This window comes from Homo sapiens, chromosome 9, assembly GCF_000001405.40.
Source record: "Homo sapiens chromosome 9, GRCh38.p14 Primary Assembly".
Classification (NCBI taxonomy): domain Eukaryota; kingdom Metazoa; phylum Chordata; class Mammalia; order Primates; family Hominidae; genus Homo; species Homo sapiens.
Window position 1 is genome coordinate 102757612 of NC_000009.12, and position 12561 is coordinate 102770172.

The following is a 12561-nucleotide window of genomic DNA, read 5'->3' on the forward strand; positions in this document are numbered from 1 at the left end:
TAATATTACTATCAGTATTCAGTAGTAAAATATTGGAAAAAGACAAATGCCATCCAAGTAAAATTGCTTTGATAAATTTTGGTGCATCCACACGTTCAAGTACTAAACAGTCAGAAAGAGTTTGAGCAAGATCTCTCTATAAAATGATATTAAGAGAAATTTTAAAAGCAAGGTGCAAAATTGTCTATATGATATGCTTTTTCTTTCTTAAAATGAAGAACAATATACACACATATGTTTACTTATTTTTCAAAGGAAACACAAAATAATACAAGATGAAAATTCTTGCCTATAAGAGGTGTCAAGGAATAGAATGAGGGTTTATGAGATTAACCTGGTACTTCTGTAACTTTTCCTTTCTTATATCTTTGAATTTTGTACCATGTAAATATTTATATTTTCAAAATATAAAATTTAATAAAATAGATTGCAAGGAGTAACAACAATCTTCAAAATAAAGAAATAAAAGATGACAGACAAATGTTTATAATAGCCTTGCAGTAATAGCCAGCATTTGAAGACAGCCCAAAATTTCACCAACAGGGAAATGGTGTCTCTGGGATTTTCAGATAATGTAATATTATTCGGCAATAAATAGGAACAAGCTATGATTCATGCAATGCCATTCATGATGCTCAAAAATAATATCCTAAGTAAAATAATCCTGACACAAAAAGGTACACACTGTTACCACATTTATACAGAAACCTAGAACAGGAAAACCAATCTATAGTGACAGAAAAAATGTCTAATGATCTTACCTCTATTGTAGACATTTTTCAACATATTTTAGTTTGTTTCCTTGGTTACCATTTTGGTAGCTACCATAATCTTCAAAACCCCATTATTCAGTTTAGAACTAAATTGTTGCCTTCCAAAGCCAAGTGATTTTTTCTTTAAGTATAATATTTGATAGTCTACCAGCTACAGACAGTCTTTTATAATGCCCCCAAATTACAGGCTACCTGTACTCCTTGATCTGTTTGTCCCAGTATGACTAGAGATGGGCCAGATATTCCTCAGACCCTCATTGTGAGTGCTTGCTGAGTGTCTGTGGTGAATGTCTTAAGATTATATTTGTATTTATTAAAACTTGGGTTGACCGGGAGGCGGAACTTGCAGTGAGCCAAGATCGCGCCACTGCACTCCAGCCTGGGTGACAGAGTGAGACTCTGTCTCAAAAAAATAAATACATAAACATAAAAAACTTGGGTTGAAAAATCAGGAAGTACCTGTTGAATATTAAGGTTTCTTTCATCCTTTAAAAATAGGATAAAAGTAACAGAAGAACACTATTACTTGATAATGTGTGTTCTATTTGTTATGTATAATAGATATACACATTTTACATTTATTCCAGAGAAATATTTTAATATGAATGATTAATGATTTTTTTCTCATTAAAATAATATAGTTGTTGCAATGAAGGATGAGGCCTTGTTTTTAATGTAGGAGTCTATGAATGATCAGTCACATGGTATGGTAGGAATTTTCCACTCTGGACTAGATGTTAGATGTTATGGGAGATTGACAGAACTTGTTTTAAGGGTTTTCTATGATTATTTTTCATCAACTTTATTTTTCAGAGCAGTTTTGGTTCATAGCAAAGTTTAGAGGAAGGTACAGAGATTTCCTATGTACCATTTCCTCCTTATTTGAACAGACTCCCCCACTATGAACATCCTGCAACAGAATGTTACATTTTTTACAACTGATGGACCTACATTGACATAATTATCACTCACAGTCCATGAACTGCATTAGAGTTTATTGTTGGTATTGAACATTCTGTGGATTTTGACAAATGTATAATGATGTGCATCCATCATTCTTTGTCATACAAAATAATTTTACTGTCCTAACCATCCTCTGTACACTGCCTATTTAATCCTTCCTTCCTCTAACTCCTCACAACGACTGACCCTTCTATAGTCTCCATGGTTTTGCCTTTTGTCATAATGCCATATAGTTGTAATTGTACAGCATGTAACCTTTTCAGATTGGCTTCTTTTACTTAGTAATAGGCATTTAAGATTCCTCCACATTGGGCCAGGCATGGTGGCACACGCCTGTAATCCCAGCACTTTGGGAGGCTGAGGTGGGCGGATCATCTGAGCTCAGGAGTTCGAGACCAGCCTGGCCAACATGGTGAACCACGTCTCTACTGAAAAAAATACAAAAATTACACTGGCGTGGTGGTGCACGCCTGTTATCCCAGCTACTCAGGAGGCTGAGGCAGAAGAATCACTTGAACCTGAGAGGCGGAGGTTGCAGGGAGCTGAGATGGCTCCACTGCACTCCAGCCTGGGCAACAAGAGTGAAACTCAGTATAAAAAAAAAGAATCCTCCATATCATTTTATGGCTAGAGAGCTCATTTTCTTCTGGTGCCAAATAATATTCTATTGTTTGAAGGTTCTACAGGTTACCTCTTTATTAACTTTCTGAAGGACATCTTGGTTGCTTCCAACTTTTGGAAATTATGAATAAAGGTGATATAAACATTTTTGTACATGTTTTTGTGTGGATAAGTTTTTCGTGCATTTAGGTAAACATCTAAAAGTTGATTGCTGGATCTTATTCAGAAGTGAAGCCAGCTGGATTTCCTGGGTCGAGTGGGGACTTGGACAACTTTTCTGTCTAGCTAAAGGATTGTAAACACACCAATCAGCACTCTGTAAAAACGCACCAATCAGCACTCTGTGTCTAGTTAAAGGATTGTAAATGCACCAATCAGCACTCTGTAAAAATGCACCAATCTGCACTCTGTGTCTAGCTAAAGTATTGTAAATGCACCAATCAGCACTCTGTGTCTAGCTAAAGGATGGTAAATGCACCAATCAGCATTCTGTAAAAATGCACCAATCAGTGCTCTGTGTCAAGCTAAAGAATTTTAAACGCACCAATCAGTGCTCTGTAAAATGGACCAATCAGTGCTCTGTAAAATGGACCAATCAGCAGGAGGTGGGCAGGGACAAATAAGGGAATAAAAGCTGGCCATCCCAGCCAGCAGTGGCAACCTGCTCGGGTCCCCTTCAACACAGTGGGAGTTTATTCTTTCACTCTTCACAATAAGTTTGCTGCTGCTCACTCTTTGGGTCCGTGCCACCTTTAAGAGCTGTTAACACTCACCACGAAGTTCCCTGGCTTCATTCTTAAAGTCATCGAGACCAAGAACCCACTGGAATGAACCAGCTCCAGACACATTAGGGTAAGACTATTTCTACTTTTGAAAGAAACTGTCACATTGTCTTCCAAAGAAGGTGTATTCTTACCAGAAATGAATAAGAATCCCTGTGGCTCCATACGTTCCCCAGCATTTGGTGTTCTTAGTATTTTGAATCCTGGCCTGTTACAGTCCTTGGCCCATTTTGTAATTAGGTGATTTGTTTTCTTACTGTTGCATTATAAGAGTTCTTTGTATATTTATTAATAGATAGTAGTCCTTTATCAGATTCACATTTTACAAATATTTTCTGCTGGTCTATGACTTGTCTTTATCTTATCTCGAGTGTGTCTTTCACAGAGCAGAAGTTTTTAGTTTTAATGAGATCCAGCTTATCAAATATTTCTTTTGTGGATCATGCCTTTGGCATTATATCTAAAAACTCATAGCCATACCCAAGTTTATTTAGATGTTTCTCTTATGTCATCTCCTAAAAGTTTCATAGTTTTGAATTTTACTTTTAATCCAATGATTCATTTTGAGTGACTTGTAGTGAAGGTTGTAAGATCTGCATCTTAATTCATTTTGTTTGTTTCTTGTTATTTTGGCATAAGAATATCCTTTTGTCCTAGCACCATTTGCTGAAAACATTTTGTTTTCCCCTTGTATTGCCTTTATCCCTTTGTCAAAAATCAGTTCACTACATTTGTGATTATCTATTTTTTGGACTCTCCATTCTGATCCTTTGATCTAGTAGCCTGTTCTATTGCCAAATACTTCACTGACTTGGTTACCCTAGCAGTTTAGTAAGTCTTGAAGTCAGATAGTGTCAGTTTTCTGATTTTGTTCTCCTTTAATACAGTGTTGTCTATTCTGAGACTTGAACTTTAGAATACATTTTTCAATATGCACAAGATAACTTGCTGTGATTTTCACTGGGATTGTATAGAATTTATGTATCAAATTGGGAAGAAATGACGTCTTGACCATATGGGATTTTTCTATCCATGATGATGGATTATCTCTCAATTTACTTCTTTTTATTCAACAGTTTTGTAGTTGTCTTTTGGTAGATTTTGTCCATATTTTCTTAGATTTTTACTTAAGTATCTCATTTTGAGGGAGTGTTAATATAAATGGTAACATGTTCTATATTTTAAATTCTACTTGATTATTGCTGATGCATAAGAAAATATTGTTTAATTTGCTCTTGTTCTAGCTGCCTAAAGTTGGCAGCTTCGATTAGTGAATTTAGGATTTTCTTCTTTTCTAACATATGCATTCAATACTATGAAGTTTCTGCTAAGCACTGCTTTCCCACACGTTTTGATGTTGTATTTTAACTTAATTTGAAATATATTTTTAAATTTACTTAAAGATTCCTGTAATCCATGTATTATTTATAAGTGTTATTTTTAATCACCAAGTATTTGGGGATTTTTGCAGTGATCTTTCTGCTATTAACTTCTAGTATAATTCCATTGTGGTTTGAGAACCTACTTTGTATAATTTCTATTCTTTTAAATTTGTTAAGATTTGTTTTATAACCCTGTGGTATATTTTGGTGAATATTCATGTGAGTTTGGTAAAATACATATTCTAATATTACCGAATTGACTAGTCTATAGGTAATTATATCCAGTTGATGATGATGTTGTTGAGTTATGCTATATCTTTACTGATTTTCTATCTGCTGTCTCTATCCATTTGATGATTCAGCAATGTTGAAGTCTCCAATTATAGTAGTGTGTTCTCTTTGTAGTTCTATATGTTTTTCCTCATATATTTTGAAGCTCTGGTGTTAGGGACTTAAGTACTAACTGTCATTATGTCTTCTTAGAAAATTGGCCCCTTTATCATCATGTAATACCATTCTTTAGCTGTGATAATGTTCCCTGCTCTGACATCGGTACTCTAAAATTAATGTTGCTACTCTCATTTTCTTTTGATTAGTCTTAGTATGCTATGGCTTTCTCCATCCTTTGCTCTTAATCTCTGTATGTCTTTATATTTAAAGTCAATTTATTGTACACAGCGTATAGTTTGTCTTGTTTTTGTATCCCACTTTGACTTAGTTTTTTAAGTAGAATATTTTGACCTTTTAAATAAAAAGTGACTATTGATATAGTTGAATTTATATTGACCATATTGTAATTGTTTCCTATTTGATGTCTTTGTTATTTGTCACTATTTTTGTTATCTACTCTTTTTCTGCCTTTTATGTTTTTAATAAAGCATTTGCAGTATTCTATTTTCTCTCCTTTCATAGGTAGTACAAGTACCAACTAATAATAATGTATTTCTAATTTCCTCCCTCTTGTTCCTGCAATCATTGCTATCATTCAATTCCTGTATTCATAAGTATACATAAACATATGTGTATCTATTTACATGCATAAGCATGTATAATCAAATACATTGTTGCCATTATAATCATTTTTATTTTGTTAGATTAAGAATAAGAAAAATGTGTTTTTATTTAACCATTATTTATCTCTTCTCCAATGCTCTTTTTTTATGTAGATTCAAATTTATGATCTATCTGTCTTTCTCTCTGAAGAACTTCGTTTAACATTTCTTGCAAGGTAGATGTACTAGCAAAAAAAATCAATTTTTATTTATCTGAGAAAATCTTTATTTCTTCTTCATTTGTGAAGGTTAATTTTGCATAGTATGTAATTCTAGGTTGGTGTTTTCCACCTCCAAATCCTTTAAATATTTCATTCTAATTTTTTCTTGCCTATGTGATTTATGAGGAGAAGTTGAAAGTAATTCTTATTTTGCTCCTCTATAGGTAAGGCTTTTTTTTCCTTTCTGGCTTCTTTCAATAAAAGTTATTTCTCTTTATCTCTACTTTTATGTAGTTAAAATATGCCTAGGTGTAGGGTATTTTGTTTTTTGTTTGTTTTTGAAACAGAGTCTTACTCGCTCACCCAGGCTGGAGTGCAGTGGCATGATCTTGGCTCAGTGCAACCTCCGCCTCCTGGGTTCAAGCGATTCTCATGCCTCGGCTTCTGGAGTAGCTGGGATTACAGGAGTGTGCCACAACACCTAGCTACTTCTTATATTTTTAGTAGAGATGGGGTTTGCCATGTTGGCCAGACTGGTCTTGAACTCCCAACCTCAGGTGATCCGTTGGCCTCAGCTTCCCAAAGTGCTGGGATTACAGGCATGTTCGGCTGTTTGTTTGCTTGTTTGTTTGTTTTTGGCATTTACCCTGCTTGCTGTTCTCTGGACTTCCTGAATTTGTAGTTTGATGGCTATCATTTATTTGGATAATTTCTCAGTTATTATTGTTTGCAACGTATTTTATCTTTTCGTCTTTTTTTATTCTCTCTCTTTTTCTGGTATTCCCATTATGTATATGCTATACCTTTTGTAGTTGTTCCACTGTTCTTGTATATCTTTCAGTCTTTTCTTTGTTTTATAGTTTTGGAAATTTCCACTGACATATTTTAATCCTCTGAGGTTCTTTCTTCAGTTGTGTCAAGTCTACTAATGAGGCCATCAAAGGCATTTTTATTTTATTTACAGTGCTTTTGATCTTCAACATTTTTTAAATTCTTTCTTAGAATTTTCATCTCTCTGCTTATATTATCCATTTGTTCTTCCATGCTATTTACTTTTTCCGTGAGAATGCTTAGCATATTAGGTGTAGTTTAAAAAAAAATCTGGTCTCATAATTCCAATATCACTTACGTCTTTGAGTTTGGTTCTGATGCTTGCTGCATCTCATCAAAAATGTTTTGGCCTTTTAGTATGCCTTACAATTTTTGTTGAAACCTGGACCTGATGTATTAAGTAAAAGAGACTCTCGTATATAGGCTTTTATTGGTATAGTGATAATGTCCTAGGGAAGGGAAAACATTTTATAGTCATATGATTAAGTCTTGGTCTTTTAGTAGGTTTGGTCTCCTGAGCTGTGAACTTCACAAGTGCTTCTCAGATTTTTTTTCACCACTTAGAAGGATAGGATAACTAGAGTGAGCTGGAGTTGAAATTTTTCTTTCCCTTTGGATCTGTTTGAATCTGATAAAACCCCAAAAGGCTATTATCTGGTAAAATAGTTTCTCTTGAGGGAAACCTTGTTAAGAAGAGCAGAATGCTGTGGATTATTTCAACATGGTTACTTTTGTCCTTTCCTGTAGGAAGTACAAGGGGATGTTTCTCTCTGATCTTCGCTGTGACAATCTAGTAGAGCTCCTGGAGCTAAAACTCAAAAATAAAATAAAATAAAATAAAATAAAAAGAATGTCCCCATTCCCAGTCTCCATGACTGGGCCTTCCTGAAGATTTTAACTCTCAGACTTGTTCATTGTTAGCTTCCAGCAATTTGCCATTTACAGTTTAGGCTCTCCTATTCCAGTACTAGTTTCTTCTGAGCTTTTTTCCTTACAAGCTTATGCTTCGGTAAGTTGTGATTCTTTGTATTCACCTGTCTATCTCTTCAAATGTGGGGGCTTTGGTTTGTCCTGTGACCTCACTTTTCTAATGGACCTGAGTTTATTTTTTAACTTGTTCAGCGTTTCACTTGTTGGAATGAAGTGTTTATTTCCAAGGTTCTTAGGTGGTGGGCCAGAAACTGGAAGTTGATCTCACCCATTAATTTTTAAACGTAGGCTACTACCTCTTTCATTTTCAGTGTTCTCTTAGTTAAAACATTTGGATGACTCTGAAGGAATTAACTTATCCCAGCATCAAAATATTAAAGCTAGCTCAGCAGGCATTCTGCAACAGACTACATTACCATTCAGACACTTCATTTTCTCTGAAATGCAAGATGCCCCCCAAGGACCTGCTTTAAGACTAGTCTTTATACAAAGCAAGGAACTTTTTAATTCTAGCAAACAAGTTAGATATCTTGGTTCTTTTCTGCTCATCCCATCTTACTACAAGAAATAGAGACATATTGGAGCAAATTCATGGTGTCAGTTCTATCATAACTCTGGAAAAACATAATTCTTGCTTTAGAGTCTCTATTTAGCAAGGATAATAACAGTCGTTATTTTTATATTGTGTTGTATTTAGGAGTTAAATAAGTCCTGCCGTATGCTCTAAAAATGAGAAGCATCTTTATTAAGGGCCCATAGCAACAACAACAAAAGTAATGTGTTTTCAAATAAATTTAGATTGTGTGGTAGGTAGAAAAATGTCTCTTCCCAAGAACATTCTTGTCCTGATCCCTGAACCTATAAGTTTCACTCACATGGTAAGAAGAGTTTTACATGTCATCATGGCTATTCCTGTTGGAATACAAAAAAAAAAGCGAGAAAGAGAGAAGGATTTCACAAGTATCATTAAGCTAAGGATGTTGAAATGTGGACATTATCATATCTGGATAGGCCCTATGTAATTATAAAGATTCTTAAATGAGGGAGACAAGAGGGTCAAAATAAGAGAAGGGTATATGAAGACAGAATCAGAGGGTTAGAGAGATACAGTTGCTGACTTTGATGACAGAAGAGCCTCACAAGCCAACAAATGCAGGCAGTATCTAGGAGCTAAACAGTGTGATGAGTGCATTTTCCCCCAGAGCCTCCAGAAGGAATGCAGCCCTGCCAATATTTTGATATTAACCCGGTAAGACTTTTAATCTCCTGAACTATGAGAGAATACATTTGAGCTTTTTAACCCACTGATGTAATGTGCCACAGCAGCCACAGAAAACTAAGGTTTTATTCTCATTTATAATATTTGTCAGAATGTGAAAAAGAAATTTCAGGGGTTTAAGAATGAGGGGGTCTTAAGGCAGTCAGGGCCTTGAGTTTCAAAAACTTTTATAATGGAAGTTTTTGATATGTTTGAGAGGGAACCACTCAGAGTGTACATGATAAGATTAGAAGTATTGTGATGGCAAAATATAATACCAAGGACTATACAGATTTGTAAACGTCTAGAAGAGCCATCACCTGGTAATGTGAGCAGTTACATATACTATCCTCATCCATGGCATGCATTTATATTTGATTCTAGCACTTAATTGCAACCATGTAACCTTAAGATACATTTCAACCTTCCAGTCAAGGTAGCTGCTACTATTTTTTTTAAGTTGGAATATCTGTCATTCAGAATCCTCTTAGAAAAAAGAGAAATAACTCAAAGTATTTCTAACATAGGTAATTTAATGGAGAACTCGTCACACAAGTGATAGAAGAGCTGAGAAGATAAATGGGGATATTGATCATACTCAGAGATTAGCAATAGCAGAAAAACACTACATCTCCTAAGTTGCTAATACAAAGAGAAAATTGGAATTCCAAGGGCTGGGATCACCCCACAGGATTGTAACTACAGCTTGTCACCAGGGAGCTGAACAACCGCAGAAAACTTATTTGAGGGAGACTGAAGATGATGGCCTCACCTTTTCTGACCACCCTATCATCTGCTGCTATTGCCTCTCATTAACTCCAAACAAGATGGAAGCCAGCTAAAACTGCAGCCAAGGAAAACTAATAAGCAAAGGCCAGGCCCTCTGCTCGAAAAGGCAGAGCAAAGAGCGAGGAAGAAATTTGAGAGCAATTGGCTCTGCATCACTTAGCATGTGAAGTTAAGGGGAAAAAAAAAAAGCCCTTACACACACACACACACACACACACACACACACCTCTTGGCTATGTCAAGAAATGTTAAGGAGAACATTTTGAAATTAGAAATTTTGCCATTCTTTAAAAAGAGACACATTTTCCACGATGTGGGGATGATCAAAACTCAAAACTGAATTGTGTAAGATTCAGACCTTATGCAGGCATCCTTTTTATTTTGCTTGTCTGAAAAACATCAGCCAAGCAAAATAAAAAGTATAAAGCATACATCATGCACTGTAAAAATTTAAAAACTGCATTTCCTTTTATATTACCTCTCTATGTGGAATTAACAATGCTAACTCATAAAGTCAATTTACAAATTAGAAAGGTATGTAAAGACAGTTTTCCAAATGATTTTTTAAAATGAGAGTTTTGTGCAAACAATTGTTAAGATGTGCTGTTAGATTTATATAATAAAGTAGTACGATGTTGACTGGATATAGGCACAGTTGAGACATACTTTTTTATATTCGTGTATTTCAGATCCATCTAACATTGGTATTCATAAGGTAGAGATAAATGTTGGAATATTGATAGTTTTTTAAATTGTATATTATAAAGTTGATGATTTTATTAGGTGCATTTCTGTATTTCTACATATAATCATTTCAGGCTAAAAATTATCATTGACATTTTAAGTCAAAAGAGAAGCAAAATATATGCCAATTAGTAGTCAATAATAATTTTCCTCTAGCAGATTATAGTAAGTACCCAGTACAAAGATGATTGACTTCACACAAATAATCATCAAGGCATAATCTGTCTCTCAGCATTTATCAAGCTTTTCCCTCCCCAATTCATCAGAACTGTGACAGATTTTATGCCCATCTGTCATAATCAATTGAATCTTTTTCAGCCGACAGACTAAAGCACATGGGGGAATTTCTAGATGATATGATGGCCAGCACTCCCTTCTGTCAGGAAATTGCAAGGTAGATTGAATGATGATTTTTTTACCTATGACAAGGGACTGCATTTTGGTTCCTCAAAGCAACGAAATGGTATTTTTTGTCCTTATCCATTGTTTCGTCATGTTAGAAAATTTTCATATTTTATTTAAATATTATGCCATCTTTTGCTTTATTTTGGTTACAAGAATCTATCGTTTAATACATCTCTATGTAACACAGGTTAATCAGAACACTTCGACATATACTAGGAAGATAAAATTCTCAATTTCATTTCCTCAGTTTAACAGGAATGTATTGAGCTTCTGCAGTGTACTCATTTTTTATCTTAATCGGATCATAATCTGATAAGAAAAGTAAATATATAAACAAAGTATTACCATGCAGTGTAATACATGCAAAAATTGACCCAAGAACAAGGTTAGCATTTAGTAATTAGTAATGGGTAATCTACTGTGTGAATGGTGAGACAAGTCTTCATTAGAATCAAAACGTAAGCTTTTGAGGAAAGTGAGTTTCAATTTGATAATCAGAGTATAAGTGGTTTTACCACAGGAGTAAGAATATGTTTTCTACCTCATTTCCACAGCCACAGTAAGATTACACATGGAGATAAACCTCAGTTTTCAGTGGGAAATCCAGACATTTTCTTTGACATCAGAATTCAGCCAAATTCTGCTTTTGCCTTGGCTACAATATTTGGAGCTTCAAATAGAGGATAAGTTAAAGTAACATTTTTTTCCTGATATCCCTCAACATCGACTATTATTTAATTCATACCCAAGAAGATTTTTTGTGTACATAACGAGAGTAAGATGCAGAGACAATTCAGAGATAATTTTGTTATCATAAAGCTAATTGCTCCCTTACTTAATTTGCACCTCCAAGGTGTAAGGGCTAATCTTTCCTGACTAATTCTGCAAACCAACAAAAGCACAGAAAGGCATTAGAAAAGTATATCTCTATATATTTTTTTCATTAATATATATCTTTCATTCATATATATCTTAGTATATATATTCATATAACAGTGAATTTGCATTACCACTGTTGTCTGAATCTCTTAAGTCCTTACAGTTCTTAAGTTCTAGGGTGAACAAGATACCAGATAAATATTTTCACTTCAGTCAATTTATACTAGAGATGAGGGAAGTTTTACTAATCTAGTGATTTTAACATCAATCTAACCCTATAATAGCAATCCTAGTGACAAATGTGTCTTGATTCTACCTACTCACACCTCAGTGGGAAGTGAACATCTATTTAGTGTCACAAAATGCAAAGTCTGGTGAGTGTAACAGCATTCTAGCGGTTGTCAGTGTGGAGAAATTATTGTGAGGCTTTCAATTCCAAAGCTTTAAAAATTGTACTAAGGAAAGTTATAATGGTATATACTATTTACTCTTTTGATACATTTTCTGCTTCCTTTTATTTCTGTACTTTATTCTATAATAGTAGTATTTAACTTTTGTCTTAGGTTCAGGAAAATATTGATGTTGATACTTACCAATTTAGACAGCATTCAGGCAAAATTTTTAATTTGGTTCCCCTTTAGCACATAGAAAAGTATGCTGAAAAGTGTATCTAGGGTCCCCAGCTTCACCATCTGCATTCTTTGACCTGTGAGCAGGACATTTTTTTTTTTTGCCATGCATTTGGAGTTGTGTTTCTGACATTTTCTAGATGTTCTCCAATTTGCTAGAGACATGTGATTCTGTCTCTGGATCTAGCTAATAATAAAATTCTCTACCTGAGAGGTTTTGCTTCAGAGAGTGGCAGGTTTTTAATTAATTTTAATAATGTAAAATTCCATTAGGAAACTTCCATCAGTTCATTGTGCAAACTAGTTATTTTCATACAGTAAAATTCTCATAAGTGTTCCCATCTATTTCTGAATTATTCATT